The sequence below is a fragment of the Homo sapiens genome, chromosome 6 (genome assembly GCF_000001405.40).
Source record: "Homo sapiens chromosome 6, GRCh38.p14 Primary Assembly".
Lineage (NCBI taxonomy): Eukaryota > Metazoa > Chordata > Mammalia > Primates > Hominidae > Homo > Homo sapiens.
In genome coordinates, this window is record NC_000006.12 from 470,524 (window position 1) to 491,353 (window position 20,830).

At 42.2% G+C, this 20,830-nt stretch overlaps 1 protein-coding gene across 14 annotated transcripts in view, besides 3 other annotated features; it reads right to left on the reverse strand.

Annotated features, from left to right (window-relative positions):
* Window positions 449–548: a silencer, noted in NCBI's record as "silent region_16814". NCBI's record gives its function as "represses an Ori minimal core promoter by ATAC-STARR-seq in GM12878 lymphoblastoid cells {active_cell/tissue: GM12878}" and the evidence as "EXISTENCE:reporter gene assay evidence [ECO:0000049][PMID:35858748]".
* Window positions 709–868: an enhancer, noted in NCBI's record as "active region_23854". NCBI's record gives its function as "activates an Ori minimal core promoter by ATAC-STARR-seq in GM12878 lymphoblastoid cells {active_cell/tissue: GM12878}" and the evidence as "EXISTENCE:reporter gene assay evidence [ECO:0000049][PMID:35858748]".
* Window positions 8,232–8,432: a silencer, noted in NCBI's record as "peak5618 fragment used in MPRA reporter construct". NCBI's record gives its function as "represses an SCP1 promoter by STARR-seq MPRAs in K562 erythroleukemia cells {active_cell/tissue: K562}" and the evidence as "EXISTENCE:reporter gene assay evidence [ECO:0000049][PMID:32103011]".
* Window positions 14,631–20,830, reverse strand: part of EXOC2 (exocyst complex component 2) — a 207,986-nt gene continuing 201,786 nt past the window's right edge. For 6 of the 14 annotated variants that reach the window (XM_017011022.2, XM_047419010.1, XM_047419009.1 and 3 more), the window contains 4 exons: window positions 20,602–20,663; window positions 18,456–18,515; window positions 16,111–16,241; window positions 14,631–15,880 (listed from right to left, as the gene is read on the reverse strand). In XM_017011022.2, the coding sequence (XP_016866511.1) occupies window positions 16,148–16,241; window positions 18,456–18,515; window positions 20,602–20,663 (216 nt within the window). In that variant the 3' untranslated portion in view covers window positions 14,631–15,880; window positions 16,111–16,147. Of the gene's footprint in view, window positions 16,242–18,455; window positions 18,516–20,601; window positions 20,664–20,830 lie in introns of all 14 variants that reach the window. The other 8 variants (XM_017011023.2, XM_047419015.1, XM_017011024.2 and 5 more) reach the window with 2 other exon arrangements.

Sequence of the window (20,830 nt, forward strand, 5' to 3'; positions counted from 1 at the left end):
ATTGCCGGCATCACCGCTCCTGCACCTTGGTGCCATTTTCAAGGAAAATACGGGTTCTTTGAACACACGCACGGCCACCTGGAGAGTCGGCCTCATAAGGGACAGGGTTCCTCAGTGGCTGAGGGACAGGCAGCACCTCCATCGTGGATCCCCTGGGCAAAGCGATGAATCACGTCCCCATGCAAGATTGCATCACACTACTCAGAGCTGTGCACCTTTTAAAACCCAGGAATTATGTATTTCTAGAATTTTCCACTTAATAGATTCGGACCACGGTTGAGTGCGGGTCGCTGAAACAGCGGAAAGTGAAAGCAGGGATAAGGGGGACTGCTGCAGATGCACTTCCTCTGGGTGTCAAGCAGCACACCTCTCCCCCTGCCCCGCCAGGGTGCGGAGGCTGGGCGGTGGCCCCCGTACCAAGGGTGGAGGGAGCGGCCAGGCCACCCTGCCTGTCCCTGTGGGGTGGCCTTCCACTGTTGAGGGTTTAACTGGACATAGTCCTGCACACAAAGACAGGGCAGGCGGTGCTTACTGAACCGTGATTTTTAACAGCGGCATCTTAGCCCGGGTGGGAGAGCCCCGGCGGGGCTCGAGGCTGCAGGTGGGGTTGCACACTCCCAGAGGCTGCCCCACCCCCAGCAATGGGGATGTCTGGGCTGCCAGTTCAGCAGTCGCTGCTTATAAAAAGGAAACTTTAGTGTATGGTATTTTCCTGAATAGTGAGGAAAAAACCCCTGATATCTTACAGTAGAAAATCTCTTCCTCACCTTAAAGAAATCCCTGGGGGTTGGGTGTGGGAGAGGGACATTCCCCTGCCCGATGCTTCCGTCAGCCTAGCCTGACAGATGCTTTGGTTATGTAGTTTCCAGTCATCGGCTGTGGCATTCTCTGCAACACCTCATTGTCCAGATGGTTTCCAGGCACACCTCTTAGCACCTCGCTCACTACCATGCGCTCAACAAGCCAGGCTTCACCTCTGCCCACCTGCCTCCACTTCCTCCTCTTCAGTGAGCTGAGCCGTCCCTGTCCCACCTGGGGATGTTTTTCCACCATCAGGAGCCCCGTCCTCGGTCCCATGCAGCAAGGCCCAGGCAGCGGGCTGGGTGGTAGAGAATCGCCCTGCTCTGTAAAATCTATACCCGAAGCCTGGTTGGAGACACTTGGTTGCAGCCTTGGCCTAAGACTTGATCGTGGAACTTAATAAAACAACTGAAGGTCCTTGCACAGGAAGAAATCAAACCGCCAAGTCCTAGTGTCAGGATTCGCTGTCTTCCAGGCTCAGTCTCCCGCATCACAGCTCGAAGCAGGAGTGCTGGGAGGCGACAAGCACGGGCTATGGTGCTGCTGTGCAGGCCCGACATCGGCAGGTGCTCAGACGTTCAGATGTAGTTCTCTAAAGCAATGGGATCCCACTGCTCTGGGGTTTGCAAATTGGTTCTGAGGGCATTGCTGAAAATTCAATAAACTCCCAGATGGAATGTTCTAACGTCCAGGCGGCAGAGCTCTCATCTACTCTGAGGATGTGTGATTCATCTACATAAATGTAATGCTGCCATCCTGCTGCAGAAGTCCAGCCCAAATGCCACCTTGTTTTGAGCCTATGTACATCTCCAGGCAGCTTTAAAAACAAGGCCATTGTCTCTCACAGGCCCAACACCATCCCCACACCTACCAAAACTAATTTCTAAATCTCATCCAATACCTGGACCATATTTAAGAGACCTCTGAATATCTTCAAGATGATGTCTGCACAGTTGGTTTACCAACTATTGCATATTAAAATAAATTACATCGAGGGCAGAATTCATTTGGATGTGTAAGTTTTTTGTGGTTTTTTTTTTTTTTAAGATGGAGTCTCTCTGTCGTCCAGGCTTGAGTGCAGTGGCTCAATCTCAGCTCACTACAACTTCTGCCTCCCAAGTTGAAGTGATTCTCCTGCCTCAGCCTCCCAAGTAGTTGGAATTACAGGCATGCACCACCACACCCAGCTAATTTTTGTATTTTTAGTAGAGACAGGGTTTCCCTATGTTGGTCATGCTGGTCTCGAACTCCTGATCTCAGATGATCCGCTCGCCTCGGCCTCCCAAAGTACTGGGATTACAGGCATGAGCCACCGCGTCCGGCTGGATGTGTAAGTTTTGATGTGAGTTTAAAACAAGTGTCTTTGAAAAAAAAAAAAAAAACCACTCCCTTTCTTTAGGGCAAGGCCCTGGCGTTTCTAGCCCATAGGTGGAGGGCATTTACTTAGCACTCTGGAGCAAGAAGCTGATCCCAGGATACCTTGCTTGAGAAGAGTGGCAGGAGCTGCGATATTTCCTGAGGTCACACACTGTCTTCATCCCCACGACCAGAGGCGTTTGCACTAGGACTTGGTACATCTTGGTTTCCTTGCCTTTCTGTCACGAGCTCTTTTGTGATTATAACTAACGAACTAAATGTCTGCTAGCCTCAGCTTTCTCCTTGGTAAAGTCCAGATGTGAAAATAGTCTGCTCACTTCACAGGAACTCAACAACGTTATACATGAAGGTTCTTGGAAAAGCACCACATTCTATGCCTATGAAAGGTGATGTCAGGGTTAGCAGGAACGGTTAAATATAGGCACACCTGTGCAGACATGCGGGGCGGGAGCTGAGGACATCATTGTGTATGATATCAGTTTTGTTATTGGCACAGCTGAATAATTACCTTGTTATATAACAGCACATAGACATCACACACCTGGTATCTCCGTGAATGCAGTATTTCTCCCATCAATGCTAGGTGGCATATGAAGATACAGGGGCAGCGGGTAGAGAAACTGCTGTGTAGGATTTCCTTCTGAAAACTCTAGGACACTGGTCAGTTAAATGGCTAAGTTTGTAGACATTTTCTAACCAGCAAACTGTGATGTATCCCTTTCCTTTTGCTTCTGGCCAGAGCCTCTGTGCTCCCAGCTCCCTCTTGCAGCCCTGTCTTCTATGATCTGCCCTCAGCCCTGGTCCACTTCGTGGTTCTGTCCTAACTTCATCTCATATGATCTCATCCACCCTCTCCATGGCTTCAGTTAACATCTATAAGCCCACTGTGGTTTCTTGCTGTCCTCACAGCCATGGGGGTCTCTGAGTAGCACACCTGGCACGTCTAACTTCTTCACACCTAAGCAGAAGTCTCAGGGAGTTGGGGAAAATAAACTTATTCCAAACTTCTGTCAGTCTAGCTGTCTTTGGTTAAATGCTTCCCTCCTCTTTTGCGATAATAGATTTGCCCACGGCGAGCGAGGACAGGGCCAAGAACAGCCCTTTCGTTGCTTGGTGCTTGCACGTCTGCTTGGCGTGGAGCACGTGGGGGTACCCCTTCTGTTTCCCCGGAGAGCCTGTGCACCCCCTGAGAGCAGAACTACATGCGCTTCAGCTCCACAGCCTCCCAGGCCTAGGGCTCGCCCGTGCCCCAGGGCTGCTCTCAGTTCCCACTGTGGAGTCCCGCAGACTTGAGCACGTGCTTCTCCTATGTGAGGGCTACTCTGACAGTGGGCTCTCAGGAGAGTGCTGTGCATGAACAGTGCTACCTCCAGGCACGGTGGTGAGGGGGACGGGTGCTGAGCAAGACTCTGCGTTCCAATCTGAGCTGTGTCTACCTAGTTACATGACCTTGGGCATTATTTGACCTGTTTACTGCAGTTTCCTCCTGTGTAAAATGGGGATAGTTATGCAGATCTGAAAATGGTATCGTGAGAGTAGCTGCTAATCCCTGTAAATGCGGGACTGTCTGACAAACAGCCCAGGGGCACCATGACCGAGCCTGGGAAGCTCAGATGCCGAAGCTGTTAGCTGTGGCACGCAAGCCTTGTTGCACCTCGGACCACCCGGAGTCCGTGATAAGCGCAGACGCCTGGGTCCCTGCCCCACGCTGGCTGTTACTTGACTCTGAGTCCAGCAGGTCACTCCAATGCACTGTAAGGCTGCAGAGCCACCTCCTCAGACAAAATTAAGGGTTATCCGCTCCACACACACACAACTAAAAAGGGAAAAAGCCAGTCGCCAAGGCACTCTTCCCTCATCCTCTGCCTCCGCGAGTCTGGAGGAGTTAGCTGTGGGGAGCCTGGCTTTGCACAGGTGTGGGGCAGGGCGTGGGGCGCTGGGCTCCCGCGTGGCTGGGACACCATTTGTGTGTCGGCAAGCAGCAGCAGTTTTATTCTCACAGTGGCATTTTTCAAACGTCTGATCAGGAACCTACATTTTCAAAACCTGCTTGTCATTCAAAATGTCATCGTGGATAATTAATCCATCAGACTATACACACAATGGGATTTCATGTTGTGACTTGGTGTGTCAAACCTAGGATAATAAACCTGAAAACTGTATGTTAGTGTTCCCACTCAAAAGAATTGTGTTCTTTTCTGATGAGGATGTGTGTAAGCTGTGTGTGAGTGACTGACAGGACTCGGGGCTGGGGGAGGGCTGGCTCGGTGCTGCTTCCTGTGTGGTCAGGATCACAGCGAGTGAGAAGTGAAGACACCAGAGGCTTTCTCTCTGGACGCCTGCGCTTCCCGCCCATCCTCCAGCTGAGGTACCGGTCCTCACGCTGCTGTGTTCAGGAACTGTTTTATCATAGAAATATCTGAATTTTCAAAAGTGGGTATATGTTTCCTTGCTTCCCTCTGCATTCCTAATGTTTCTTCTGTATCTCCTTTTTCTCCTTTGATAGGATGTGACTGGGAAAAAGAAACACAGGACCACAGGAACGTCTGTGACCCATGCTTTCTCTAAAGAAGGCATCAGGGCTTCAATATTTAGAGGGGAAAAAATGGGCAGGAGAGGAAAGAAAAAAGGGGAGGATACGGTCACCTTCTCGCGAAGCTCTGATGAGGGCTCCGTAAATCCATATGCTGCCATGGAAAGAACGGGGCAGACGGACGGTCACCTATGCGTTCCTCTCCTGCTCAGCGAGCATGCTTTTGACAGGAGGAAGAGCAAATGGGGCAGTCACGCACGCATTTGTCTCGGGTGAGGGAGAAATGACGTCCAGTCCTGCCTTTGTCCTGTGCCTGTGAAGATAAGCTGTGAATTCACATTGTCAGGGTGAAATTCAACAGAACATTGTTTTAGGGTAAAGATCTTGGGGCCCACAGGGAGGTACCTTGTGAGAAAACTGAGGGAGGCCGCCTAGGGAGGTATGTGGCCTTCTATCTATCTACTTAGGAACAAAGCAGGAGGCAGTTAACCCAAGGTTAACTTTTCCCAATGGCTTAGTGAGTTTGGGGCCCCAAGATTTTGATTTTCTGTTTACATGTTCTCAAAGAACCAGCTATTGGCCTTATTGATTTGACTATCTCCGTTGCATCTTGTGTTCTATTTTGTGTTTATTAGCTCTTTCCCTCTACTTTCTTTGAGCTCATTCTTTTGAGTTTCATGCATAGCTCATGTTCAGTCTCTTTTCCTCTCTAACACAGGCACTTAAAGTCTACATTTACCTTGAAGTGTTTCTTCAGCTGCAAGCCACATTTTGATATAAAATTTTTCATTACTGTTCAGATATCAGTTTCTCTAATGTTTGTTAATAATTTCTTTTTTGACCTATGTGGTATTCAGAAGTCTGTTTTAAAACTTCCAAATGTTAGCCAGGCATGGCTTACACCTGTAATCCAGCCACTTTGGGAGGCTGAGGCAGGAGGATCGCTTGAAGCCAAGAGTTCAAGACCAGTCTGGGCAACATAGTGAGACTCTATTTCTACAAAAAATAAATTTCCAAATACATGCAGGGTTTTAAAAGTTATCTTCTTGTTACTAATGTCTAATATAATTTTACTGTGGTCAGATAATTTGATACTAATTTTTTATTTCTTCAGACTTGTTTGTGGCTAGAATGTGGTCAGTCTTCTAACTAAAGTCAGAAGGTTATACAAATTTCTGCCAGATTAAGCTTGCTAATGGTGCTTTTCAAATTTTCTATACATTTGATAATTATTTTGACTGCTTAATCCATCAATATTGAGAAAAATGTGTTAAAAATCTACTAGTATGTTTATGGATTGCAAATCCCAAACCCTATAACTAAAAAATTATATAGGTAAAACTAAAAAATTATATCTATTGAAGTTATTAATATATTATTATTTACTTTTTTTTTTGAGACAGTTTTGCTCTTTTTGCCCAAGCTGGGGTGCAATGGCGTGATCTCGGCTCACTGCAACCTCTGCCTCCTGGGTTCAAGTGATTCTCCTGCCTCAGTCTCCCAAGTAGCTGGGACTACAGGCGCCTGTCACCATGCCTGGCTAATTCTTCTGTTTTTAATAGAGACGGGGTTTCAGCATGTTGGCCAGGCTGGTCTCGAACTCCTAACCTCAGGGGATCCTTCTGCCTTGGTCTCCCAAAGTGCTGGGATTACGGGTGTGAGCCACCTTGCCCGGCCTGAAGTTATTAATATTATTAAATGTACCTAAGTTTAGAAATCGTTTTATCTTCCTGGCAAATTATTACTTTCATCATTACACAATAGCCTTAATATATTCCTAAATAACATTTTGCCATCAAGTATATTTTGTGTGATATCAACTTAGCACCACTAGCTTTCTTTTCATGAATATTTCCCTAGCAAACATTTTTTTTGGGGTGGGAGTGGGGTAGGGCTGGCATTCTTTTGCTTTCAACCTTTGAGTCCTTTTATTTAGGACCCAGAAATAGCACATATTTAGAAATACCACATAGATGAATTTTTTTGGGGGGGGCTGGGATCTAATCTGAGGATCTATTTCATCTGAAAACATTAGTTCATTGATGTTACTGTGCTAATCCATTAGAAAATATTTTTACCCCTTAGTTTGGATTTTCTATTCACTTTCCTTTTTGTGTGCTTCACCAATCCCCTTCCATGTTAGTTACTCCTACTGATTTTTTAATTCCTCACCAACATACACTGCTATGAAAGTTTTCTATTCTACATCTATTCTTTTTTAAAAATTAAAACACAATTTTTCATTTTAAAAGAATTTCAGACATAAAAATGTTTTAAAAATAGAATGAAGAATTCCCATATTCCTTGTCCTCTCCCAGCTTCTCCAAGTATTAATATCTCAAATAGCCACAACACAATGATCAAAAGCAGGAAATTAACATTGATATACTATTGTGAGCTAATTTACAGATCTTACGAAAATTTCACCGGTTGGCTCACTGACGTCCTTTTTCTGGTTCAAGATCCAATCCAGGACCACACATTGCATTTAATTGTCACGTCTCCAATCTGGGGTAGTTCCTCAAGTCTCTGTCTTCTGTGACCTTGATAATTCTGAAGAGTATTGGTTGGGTATTTTGTAGAATGTGCCTCAATTGTGTTTAATGTTTTTTGGGATTAAATTCAAGTTATGAGCATCCTTTCTCTGGTATTTTTTGCCAAAAATGTAAGTTAACACTGCTTGTTCTAGAAGAGTGAAATATCAGCAAACCAGAGATGTCTCGGTTCCAATCTGCTTTTTCCTCCAGATATTACGCTCACCACATCCTGTCCTCCTATTCAAACTTCCTAATTCGTGGGCAGGAGGAGACTTAGATCCAGGAGTCCTGACAGCTTCAAGAGGTAGTCCTAGACCGTGATGGCCACGGGCCAACAGCAGACCCCATGACGGCTGTTGGGTGCAGCAGAGTGTGCCGACTCTCCAGAACTGGTCTGGAGAGCATCTAATTAACATTATGTCCAGCACAACCTACAAGGAACAGGGGGATTCTTTACACCCTTTGAAGTGTAGGGTTTTAGTGTCGTGCTTCCTCCTGAACCTTAAAAGCATATTCTCAACAGTCACTTTAAGAATCCAAGTAACTTTAAGAAAGAAACCTGATTTAAAGACAGCTAAGGGGTAAATCAAGGATGGGCCCTCATGGCAGTCTTACCAGAACTTATTTGCATCAGGAAACAATTTGGCTTGCTGAGTGTCTGATTAAGTCTTAAAAATAATGCAGATGGCCGGGCGTGGTGGCTCACGCCTGTAATCCCAGCACTTTGGGAGGCCGAGGCGGGTGGATCACGAGGTCAGGAGTTCGAGACCAGCCTGGACAACATGGTGAAACCCCGTCTCTACTAAAAATAGAAAAATTAGCCGGGCATGGTAGCACATGCCTGCAATCCCAGCTACTTGGGAGGCTGAGGCAGGAGAATCGCTTGAACTCAGGAAGCAGAGGTTGCAGTGAGCCAAAGTTGTGCCACTGCACTCCAGCCTGAGTGACAGAGCAAGGCTTTGTCTAAAAAAAAAAAAAGGCAAAAAAAGCAGACAACTCATATGGGGAAATAGACCCACAGAACAAGGACAATGATTATCCAAAGACCTCAGGAGAAAGTCAAACAGATAACAAGCTTGGGACCTCTAACTTGTGGTTTGCAGAGTCTGAAACTCCTGTTTGATGCAGAACAACACTGCTTCTGTGAGTTGTGTCTACGCCCATGGTATCTATTCCTCAAGTATTAAAACAATGCAAAATTAATTGATGTTACAGATTGTGAAAATAAATAGTTGGAGAAGTGATCATAGCCTTTAAGGGTTCATGTACTCATGCTCAGCATATTTACTAAGCAATGGCGAGAACAGGCTTATTTTAGAAAATTCCACTATTACTCCTCTTCTGCTTCTACAAGCACCAATTTAGAGCACTTCGTGTATCATTTAAGTCCAGCCACCCTTATTACACGCAAGGAAACAGATACAGCCAAAGGCCATGTGACTTTGCCAGCACTGCGCAGAGCTGATGACAACTGAAAGGAGAAACCAGCCCATTGTCTTTTGATCTCATTTTCTCTATTGCTTATGCATTTTTCTATTTCCTTGACTTCTGCCCTTTCCTTTATGATTTCTGTCATTCTACTAACTTGGGATTGGGGTTGAATTTGTTATTTGTTAATATCTTAAGATGGAACCTTAGATCACTGAATGTAGATCTGTTTTCTAACGTAAGCATGAAGTTTTACAAATCTTTTCCTGTAAGCACCCTATAGCTGTATCCCTCAAATTTTGATATGTTTTAACTTTTCATTCAATTCAAATATTTTCTAATTTCTGTGGTGTTTTCCTCTTTGATTCCTGGGGTATTTGGAAGTGCACTTTTTAACTTCCAAATATTTAGGGCTTTTCTTGATATTTTATTGTTATTGATTTTCAGTTTAATTCCACTGTGGGCAGAGAACTGCATAATTTGAAAATTTTAATTTTCTTTGAGATTTGTTTCATGACACAGCATATCAATCATTATTCAGATCTTCTATGTCTTTGATGATTTTCTTCATCTAGTTCTATCAGCTGCTAAGAGGAGCTTAAAACTTCCAATCTGAGAATGATACTGCCCATTTTTCCTTTAATCCTGTCAGTTTTGTCTTACGTATTTTAATGATCTTCATGCTTTGTTACTAGATACATACATGATTGTTATATCTTTGAGTGACCATTTTATACTTATGAAAAGTCCTTCTGTTATGATGTTTTTATCTTAAAATCTCCATTACCTTATATTGATATGGCAACTCCAGCCTTCTTTATGCTTACTATTTGCATAGTGTATTTTTTTCCCATCCGGTTCCTTTCAACCTATCTGCGCCATTTTAAAATATAAAGTTTCATCTCTTATATACAGCATATAGTTGGGCCATGCTTCTTTATTCCTTCTGACAACCTCTGCCTTTTAATTGAAATGCTGAATCCATTAATGTTTAATGAAATTATTGCTATGGTTGTGTCTGGACATATCATTGTGTTATTTTCTATCTGTTCTCTGTTCTTCCTTTTATGCCTTTTTAAAATTACACGACTATTTTAAAAATGCAATTATACTTTTCTTACTGGCTTTTTAGCTATACGCCTCTACATTATTGTTTCAGTGATTGTTCTGGGGACTACAACATATATCCTTAACTTTTCACAGTCCCTTTACATGTAATATATTACCACTTCATGTGAAATGTAGAAATCTTGCACCAATATAGGTCCATTCCCCCCCCCCTTATTTTACATCTATATAGGCTATAAACCCACAGGACAATGCTATACTACTTTATAAACAGTCATATATAAGTACCTCACGCTAACTGATTGTGCCGCTGGAGCTCGCAGTCATATATTATAAAACCTTTAAGAAGAAAAAGCAAAAAGAAAGAATTCTGTATTTACCGAGCTGTTTACCATCTCTAATGCTCTTCATTGCTTTGTGAGGATATGCACTTCCATCAGATACCATTTCCTTTCCGTTTGAAGAACTTCGTTTAACATTTCTTATAGTGCACGTCTGCTGACAACAAATTGTCTTAGTTTTCTTTTATCTAGAAATGTCTTTAGCTGTGAAAGAGTATCTTCACTTAGAAGTGAAGAACTCTGGATTGACAGCTTTTTTCTTCTATCACTTTAAAGATGCCTATTTCACTCTCTCTGGCCTCCATAATTTCTGATGTTAAGCCAGAAGTTGAGTCCAATGTTCTTCTCCTGTATGTAGCAGGTAGTTGTTCAACTGCTGCTGACTAGATCTGTTTTTTAGCTTTGGCTTTAACAGTTTATGGCAGTGTGGCATTTTTTGTCTTTATCTTTTTTGCTGTTTGTTGAGCATTATGAATCTGTAAATTTGTATCTGCCATAAATTTGGGAAATTGCCAGCCATTATTTCTTCAAATATTTTTTCCTGCCTGATTCTCTCTTTGCTTGCCTTCTAGGACCACAATTATCCATGTGTTAAGACCATTTGATTATATTGAACAGGTCTCTAGAAAACTTGCCCAAACATTTCCCTCTCTATTCTTCATATTGGATAATATCCACTGATCTATCTTCAAGTTCCTTTATTCTTTCCTCAGTTATCATCACTGTGCTATTTAAGTCCAGTCAGTATTTTTGCTTTATTTCAGAAACTGTATTTTTCGGTTCTAAATTTTTCATTTTAAAAATTGTTTCTATGTCTCTGCTGATATCTCCTATTAAATTGTTGCTAACATATTTTATTTTACTTCATTGCGGATAAAGTGCATTAAAACCTTTGTCTGCTGCCTAATTGCCCTGGCCAGAACTTCCAACACTATGTTGAATAGGAGTGGTGAGAGAGGCCATCCCTGTCTTGTGCCAGTTTTCAAAGGGAATGCTTCCAGTTTTTGCCCATTCAGTATGATATTGGCTGTGGGTTTGTGATAGATAGCTCTTATTATTTTGAGATACGTCCCATCAATACCTAATTTATTGAGAGTTTTTAGCATGAAGGGCTGTTGAATTTTTGTCAAAGGCCTTTTCTGCATCTATTGAGATAATCATGTGGTTTTTGTCTTTGGTTCTATTTATATGCTGTATTACATTTATTGATTTGTGTATATTGAACCAGCTTTGCATCCCAGGGATGAAGCCCACTTGATCATGGTGGATAAGCTTTTTGATGTGCTGCTGGATTCAGTTTGCCAGTATTTTATTGAGGATTTTTGCATCAATGTTCATCAAGGATATTGGTCTAAAATTCTCTTTTTTGGTTGTCTCTGCCAGGCTTTGGTATCAGGATGATGCTGGCCTCATAAAATGAGTTAGGGAGGATTCCCTCTTTTTCTATTGATTGGAATAATTTCAGAAGAAATGGTACCAGCTCCTCCTTGTACCTCTGGTAGAATTCGGCTGTGAATCCATCTGGTCCTGGACTTTTTTTGGTTGGTAAGCTATTAATTATTGCCTCAATTTCAGAGCCTGTTATTGGTCTATTCAGAGAGTCAACTTCTTCCTGGTTTAGTCTTGGGAGGGTGTATGTGTCGAGGAATTTATCCATTTCTTCTAGATTTTCTAGTTTATTTGCGTAGAGGTGTTTGTAGTGTTCTCTGATGGTAGTTTGTATTTCTGTGGGATAGGTGGTGATATCCGCTTTATCATTTTTTATTGCGTCTATTTGATTCTTCTGTCTTACTAGTCTTGCTAGCGGTCTATCGATTTTGTTGATCTTTTCAAAAAACCAGCTCCTGGATTCATTGATTTTTTTGAAGGGTTTTTTGTGTCTATTTCCTTCAGTTCTGCTCTTGATTTTAGTTATTTCTTGCCTTCTGCTAGCTTTTGAATGTGTTTGCTCTTGCTTCTCAGGTTCTTTTAATTGTGACGTTAGGGTGCCAATTTTGGATCTTTCCTGCTTTCTCTTGTGGGCATTTAGTGCTATAAATTTCCCTCTACACACTGCTTTGAATGTGTCCCAGAGATTCTGGTATGTTGTGTCTTTGTTCTTGTTGGTTTGAAAGAACATCTTTATTTCTGCCTTCATTTCGTTATGTACCCAGTAGTCATTCAGGAGCAGGTTGTTCAGTTTCCATGTAGTTGAGCGGTTTTGAGTGAGATTCTTAATCCTGAGTTGTAGTTTGATTGCACTGTGGTCTGAGAGATAGTTTGTTATAATTTCTGTTCTTTTACATTTGCTGAGGAGAGCTTTACTTCCAAGTATGTGGTCAGTTTTGGAATAGGTGTGGTGTGGTGCTGAAAAGAATGTATATTCTGTTGATTTGGGGTGGAGAGTTCTGTAGATGTCTATTAGGTCCACTTGGTGCAGAGCTGAGTTCAATTCCTGGGTATCCTTGTTAACTTTGTCTCGTTGATCTGTCTATTTTCAAGTTCCTTTACTCTTTCCTCAGTTATCCTCACTGCTATTTAAGCCCAGTCAGTATTTTTGCTTTATTTCAGAAATTATATTTTTTGGTTCTAAATTTTTCATTTTAAAAATTGTTTCTATGTCTGCTGATATCTCCTATTAAATTGTTGCTAACGTATTTTATTTTACTTCATTGTGGATAAAGTGGTCTTGGTTCTCAGGGATTTGTGTCTGGCTAGAGGGGTTGTAGGAAGGTGGTACGAGAATCTTTTTTTAACATGTGACGAGATGATAATGATAACAACCATGAAAATATCAACAGTGACCACAAGAAGAAAACCAACGGCTTCCAGTCATGGTAAAACACTGTTGAAGGCACAAGACAAGCTTCACTGCCCACTTTGTCTAGGATTTTCTGTGCCTAGACAGGAGAAAGACACTCTGATATCCTACTGCCTTTCATTAGCCAAACTGCAAACAAGTTACCCAAAGACCCAGGTCTTGTCCGTAAGATGTTTATTGCTATATATTTCTAACCTGGCCAGGTACAGAAAGGCTTTCCAGTAATACACGTAATAAACCTCAATGTAATAAATCCTCCTCTGGGGGAGCAGAAATGAGATGAGATCAGCACACAAAAAGCATAATGGCCCTAGTATAGAGTAATATGCAACTGTGTTTAAAGCAAAGCTAAAATAATTATGGCTGCTGCTCTAATTGAGGAGTGATATATTAAATATATCTTTCAGAGCAGTTCACAGATCTATATGAAAATCTTTGCAACAGAACCAACAGATAAATGTTCAGTGACAAAAATGTATGCAAGTTTAGTCTATGCATAATTATTTTATGAATATTACATAAAATATATTTGACTTTTAGAAACCTAATCTTGATTTAAAAACTAGTTAAAATTTGTAACTTTTCTGAAAACATTACACAACACGCTTATGAAACTAACAGAATATCCCATAGCACGTGATCAAAACAGAAATACACACCACCACCTTGTACCAAATCCAGAATAAAAATATAATCTCTTCTATTTCTTCCCTTTAAAAAAATCTACATGCAAAGATGACAAGAGACAGGAGAATGAGTCAGTGTGCTCAGCCTAAGGCAATGATGCTTGTTTTGCAATGCCCAAATCATTTCTAGAATATGCTCTTTCATGGTACACTGATAAAGAAAGTCTTAGTAAAAAACCAAGTGATTTCTAATAGCTCTTTCCCATTCAAGTGAGGCCAGCTCAGCTAACTCACATGAAGCCATGCTGTGACCCACAAAGAACATGGGTGTGCTGGAAATGAAATGCCACTGGAGCACTGAAGTACCTTGAACCTCCCTAATTTGTTTTCTCAGCTGCCTCGTTAACTTGCTCCAGGTCCTGGTTTCTCTCTCGGCTTTCATCTAACTTATTTCATATTCATCTCCTCTTACCCACTAAACCAGGGTTCTGTAACTCAAGTAGCTCTTGAAATCCCCCTTTCTTCCAAGAAGTCCCCCCTGACTTGTTGGAATAGTAGTCCTTGAACTCCCTCACTTGGGTATGGGGTTTTTAGGCCTTTACCTTCCACTCTGAGCCATAAAAGCACTACCGGTTTCCGTGTTGCTACTGTTTATTAGCCTCTGGAATTGATGAACTTTCTCTGAGCTGTGACCCAGGTGGATGGATGTCAGAAAGCATATTCCGCTGGAAGGAAGAGCTGAGCAGTAGTGAAGTCAAGGACATACAGAGCCAGAGTGTGAACATGAGTCCTGCTACTTACTGCCTTGCAGTCTTACGGAAGTCACCAACCTCTCTCTAAGCCCTGATTCCTTCCTCTGCTAAATGGACGTGGCGGTAAGCTAGCCCACATGTATCATAAGGCTGTTGTGAGGATTCAACGAGGCACTTCATGGTGTGCCTCGCACATGGTAAGTCCCCAGCAAACAGAATTAGCAGGACCTGACAGATGGTTTCTGACAATGTGTTTACCAATACAGGGTTAACCAGAATGTAAGTATTTTGGGTGTTAACAGTAGAAATATGAAAATGTTGAAATAAAGACACTTAGGGAAAAATGTCAAGTAAATTACAACTTACATTAAAGGCAGATTCTTTATTGGCTGAATGTGCTGTAGTAGATATTTAAAATATCACAAACATTCATGATTGCAGTTTTTAAACTTAGCTCACAGTTGAGTTAGATACAACAGTTAACATACTTAGGAAAGACAATTCTTAACAGCTTTATCAAGCACATTTGTGAAAGATTAAACTTTCATTTCCAGTTACCATGATGTCCCCCCATACACCAAATGAACCAACACATTTATTTATTTTAAATAATGGAAACTGTACATGGCTACACTGTGCTCTAAAATTACTTGCATTAATGAGGACATTAATTTTAGCATTTAAAAAAAGAGATTTAAAAATAACCATAGAAAAACTTGAAAACCCTGACAAGCCGACTACAAAGAGAATTCCTCTCTGAAAATTTTCAGATGCGACGGTATGAGGGAGTTGGGTGGGCCGCTGACTCTGAGAGAAGTCCCGGTGACCTGAACCTATTCCAGTGAAGCCAGTCAGCAGTGAATGTGGGGCAAGTGCATGCGGCTGGTCTACAGCTCCCATTGCCTGGTGACCAAGGAGCATCCTGAAGTTTCAGAGAAGAGACTGTGTGACAGCAGCATTGTTCCAGCTACTGAGCAAGATCCTTCAGCAGGTAAGAAGTGGCAGAGACAGTCACCTGCTGAAGGAGCGGGCAGGGAGTTGGCCGTCCACGCGGAGCCTGGCCTTTCCGTTAGGGGACCCTGAAGTCTGCGACCGCCCCGCCAACACCTCAGAGTGTAACACAGTGCCCGTTACACATTCACACTCCATCACAGATAACACACAGGGCCTCAGGGACTGCAACACGTGCATGTGTAGTGACGCACGACAAATTAAGAGTGAGTGAGAATGAAAGCTCATGCTTAGCCCTGTGAAAAATAAAAATCAGATAGCAAAACGCAAAGTTAAATCACAGACACCTGGACCACAAATAATCTACCCCAGTTGTAATATGTATTTTAATGGAGACCATAAATTTTTCCAAAAACCCGCTTGAATTAGAAAACTTAAGGCCATTTATATGAAATGAGGGTTTTAAGCACAGCTGTACAGTTTAGGACAGTAAGAGCTCCAAAGATGTCTACATAGCTTTCCAAATCTCGTATCAGTCAGTCTCTCCGTGTGTCGTGGGAGCTGCCTGCGCTTCCGTGAACGGGACACTGAGAAATGCTTCAATATGTGCCACGCCATTCCAGAAAACTCCCTGCAGAAGCAGCTCTTCCTGCAGCACTCAACCTTCTGCTGAGATGCAAAATATATTTTAAAATGTATTTTAAAGTCATACAGGATCTGATCTAGTAAGAATGGCAAAACAAATACTTCCTGGGCATTTCAAATGAGGTCATTTTGGTTGAAATGTATACCAACAATTTTCGAAGTCAGAGGAAGAAAAAAGAGAAAAATGGCAAACCCAATGTTTAATACACCAAATACCTTTAGGGTACTTAGAGAGTGAACAGTCTTATTACGTGTTATTTTCCTGGACTTCTTTTATGTGGCAGATATTTATGTTTTCATCATGGTTGAAGAAGCTGCTTGGAAACAGGTGAGCTGCAAGTGCATGCTACTCTTGAACTTGTTCAGGAGCTCTTCCAGTAACCTGCAGGACGGAGACACTTGTTTTACAGCCCGACAGATGGGGCGGCCTAGCAACGCAAGAAAACACCAGGGGAGCCAGTGCCCGGCTCTGCCTGGGCTTGCTGTGTGGAGAAGGCAGCTGAAAAGTTCTACCTATGGATCCTTAACTCAGCAAAAGAAACACATCAAAGAAGTTGATCAAATAGGATATACTGATAACGTATTTATGTTTGTACAGAAACATCTCCTTCCTATCCCCTCCCAAGATTAGATTCCTCCCTAATACAGACTGATGTTTGGGCCTATTCTTTTTTAGAAATTCAACTCTAAAATAATTTACACACCTTCAAATTCACTTTTTGTTAGATGGTTCTATGAACGCTGGCAAAGCCATACCGGAGTGTAACAGGCTACAGCACGTGGCATGGCTGCACCCTTTCCCCTGCTGCCCCTCTAGTCAGCCTCTTCCCTAACCCCATCTCCCAGCAGCCACTGCTGACTTTCCCTTCCTCTCATTTTGTATTAACAGGTATTAGAGAGTGGGGAGCGAAAGCAGTGAGTTAACCACCAGGGCAAGCAGGGTTAGGGGCTAATTCCACTAGGCAAATCGCTTTGCTGCCTGATATCGCAATCTGTTTCCCCAACTGATGTGATACAGTCATCTAATTTTTTTTCTTTTTTTCAGATGGAGTTTTGCTCTGTCGCCCAGGCTGGAGTGCAGTGGCGCGATTTCGGCTCACTGCAACCTCCACCTCCCGGATTCAAGCAATTCTCCTGCCTCAGCCTCCTGAGTAGCTGAAACTACAGGTGCCCGCCACCACACCCGGCTAATTTTTGTATTTTTAGTAGAGACGGGGTTTTACCATGTTGGCCAGGATGGTCTTGATTTCCTGAAGTCGTGATCCGCCCACCTCAGCCTCCCAAAGTGCTGGGATTACAGGCATGAGCCACTGCGCCCGGCCCAAGTCATCTAATTTTTAAAGCTAGGAAGGATCTTAGAGTTTTCCTGGTTTGGATGCAGCAACCAAGAACTGGGTTTAACAGTACTGAGGTCAAGAGATTATTTCACGGTTTAACAATGTTCAATATTAGAATGCTATCCCCACAGCAAATCTAAAATATAGTCCTGACCTGGGGCCATTTCAGGGTGTGTATTGTTCGTGACACACTACCTTTTGAGCCCTGTTCCACATATGAAACGTAGCAGTGACTGTTTCAATCTTTTATCATATTTATTTTAAAGAAATGAACAGGGTTTGGAACCAATTCAAATAGAGGATGGAAGTTAGAGAAGCAGCAAGAAAAAGGAAGAAAGGGCTGATTGTGCAGGCACTGTCTGCACAGCTGCCATGTGCCCACGTGGGATGCGTGCGGGGCGGGGCGGCGATGCCCCCGGGGACTGATGGTGGAAGGGCTGGTCTGCTGCCTGCTCTGTGCGTCGATGCCATGTGACAGCTCCCCCCCATGGCCCAGCCTATGTGATCTCTCTGCCCTGCACTGAGTCTGCACTGCATTCACGGTGCCAGCATTTCAGTCAGTGCACCACATGTGCCTGTCTATGGGCCCGGCAGCCACGTGCAGGGCGGGTGGTGAAGGAATGAAGACTGCCTCAGCTCGGGGGAGCCTGGGCATTTATGAAATTTACCTGGCCTAGATTTTCTCTTAGGTCCGTTTCCTGTTCTATGAGTAGTAAAGTTTAAATTCAGGTTGAGATCATCAGTGTGGTCTAATGAAATATATATGTATATATAAAACTTTATTATGCCATATGTGCACATCTACTTTCATAACATTTTGTATTTTATAGAACACAAAATAAATACTACTGAATTACTCAAAAATTAAAAAAAAAATCACCGACTCCTGCATTTTACTATGCTGTCTTCTTTTTTCCATTACTTCTTATGTATGCTACTAATACAGTTTACTGAATAAGTCATAGATAGCTTTCTTAAGACCTTTTCTATACCAGTCACTTGAAACGAGAGCCAACTTCTAAATTCTCCTAAACCCAGAAGAAAGGTCTTACCTTATTCTGTCACTCAGAAGACATGCAAGTTACAGGTGACGAGATGTACCTACTAACGCTATTAAGTAGGTATATCTGCTTATTCTGATTCTTATTTGGATTCTGCTCTTCCTAGAATCCAAATCATTATTTTTAAAAGGTATTTTAGGAAACAAAACCTTGTTGAGCACATTCAACTGGCTCCTAAGAACAGCACACAGGACTTACTTTTTATCTGCTCCACTGGAAAGCTGGGGCAGGGCTTCCAAAGCCTGCTTAAAACTTGACCTGAAACACAAACAGCCACACTGAAGTTGAAGCCTTGCACAGGAGAACTGCTGACAAATTCTTAAGCATCCCTTAATTATTGAGAAGCCAATAAAAGCCAGTGAAGCAAGGAAATATGAGAAAAAGTAAAAGTGAAAAACAATAGAAAAAGTAAAAGTAAAAGCGAAGGTGTAGCTACCAGGTGGAGGCTTTGTAGCAACGGGGTCAGAAAAACTCAAATAGGAAATGAAACGCTACTTGAAAAGCTAAAGGAAAAACATCTTCGAAAGGATGCTAGTGATAGAGGAGAGCTTAATGTGAACATGTTTAATTTAAAAGGAGTCTTTTCAAAACAAGCAGCTGGGGATAATCCAGTTACTCTAAGAAATGGGGATGACCTTCTGAAAGATGACACAGTGGGGTGTTTACAGTATTTGGCCTGCACAGGGCCTGATCTACAGCCAATGTCTTGTAATAATTACAGTCTACTTAAAACTTGTAGAAAAATGGAGAGCTATATAGATGCTTTAAAAATTCAATGTAAGTTCTTTACATGAAGGTAAAAGGAAAGAATTTTAAAAAGAAAACTGTGGGATGTTTAGCTTTTACAAGGAGAAAGTATTAGAAAAATTACCAAACCAAATGAAAAGCATCATAGGGGAGACTGTGGTAATTAACTTGTACCATTCACAAAGGAACAGTTCTTTTATCTCTCTTATGATTGGTTAAGGTGAAGAAATACTGCAATTCTTGACTTTAGGGGGTCGTTGCTTTTATATTGTAAAAACATCCTCAATCTACCAGGAAATACGTTTTTGAGCAATATTCCTCAAATCAGGGGCAAGTGTCACAGCAACAGAGAGAAAGACTGAAAAGTTCCAACAGAGTCATAAAACCCGGTGCTGGGCATCTCCAGCTGCTCCCGGGAGGGCGCGGTGGGGTGTGGGACGGGTGGCTTGGCGCACTCGGGTCCCTTCCCACATTCAGCGGCCTCTTTCCTGGTGTGGAAGCCACTGCCGCTACCTCCACCATCAGCTTGTTTCTTATGAACCTCTTTTTGATTAATTGAAAGAAATGTGATGTAATTGTTTTGACAGTATGACAATAATGATAAACATACTACATATTATTGGCAGGGTACTGAAAATTAAAAAGTGATTTGGCACATTTTCTCATTTAACACCCTCAAAAGCTTGCCTAGAATATTTTAAACTTCCTCTATAGATGAGTACCTTATACTCTAAAACTAAGTCAGCAGGAAGAGGGTAGGCATTTGCATGAAGTGTGCACACATCCAACATGGGCTGGGTGCTTTCCATCCTGTTAGTATGTTGTACAGACAAACGATGGCTGGGAAAAGGTGTGGCTCAACAGTGAACATGGCCCACTAAAAATGGCTGCTGGTGAGCTGTGACCGACGGGAATGAAAGGCTAACTTCATTGGTTAGGAAAAAATGGAAAACGTATTTTCAGTTGCAAAGCTGACAGAATGACAGCAAGCCATGTTATCAGATGCTGGAAATGAGTGAGTAAGCATATTACAGTGTCCTCAAACATTTCATTTGCATACGACTTGGCTTCTCAGGCACATCAACACTATAACCCAGTATTTCCTAGGTAATGTTGCCCACGTAGTAAACAATTTTGCACAGACAAACAGTAGTTCTGCTTCACTTCACCTACTGATATTTCAATGGTAGGAAATCCTGACTTTCATTCAAAACAGCTAAAAATTATCAAATTTCCACTACAAAATTTTGCAGAGAAACCACAAGGCTTCCTCTTATACTGATATTTACAGCACTTGAGCTGTCCTTCAGAGTCTGCTATGAACAGACTAAGACTCAGTTCTTATCCTCTTTTGCTTTAAGAAGTATGTCATACTCTGCTGTATTATAAGACTAAGATTTGTCAGTAGTAAATGAAAAAATTATATTAAACCCCTTTCATTTACATTGTGTTACAAAGTGGCCTTGACATAAACTTTATCACATCACAAATTCATGAGCATGTGCTCTGATCAGTCATCTTTACAGAGGACAGAATTGACTAGTAAGACAACCTTTATTTTTAATAGAGCACTCAACTAAAGAACACTGCCACTTACTTGCTTTCGGGTGTCAGGTAAACAGCCACAGTGTCCCTCAAAGCACAGATTTCAAGTCTCGCCTGAAAATGAGAAAAAGACAAAGTGACAACAGGAAAATTTATATTATCAAATATAAACAAGTACTAAGGTTAAGGGTCTCCAGCCTGCTCATCGTAGGATGGGGTTGGCGTAATACCACCATGGTGACCGCCAGTCATGAGTAGAGTTTCTAAAACAGTCCGAAGAA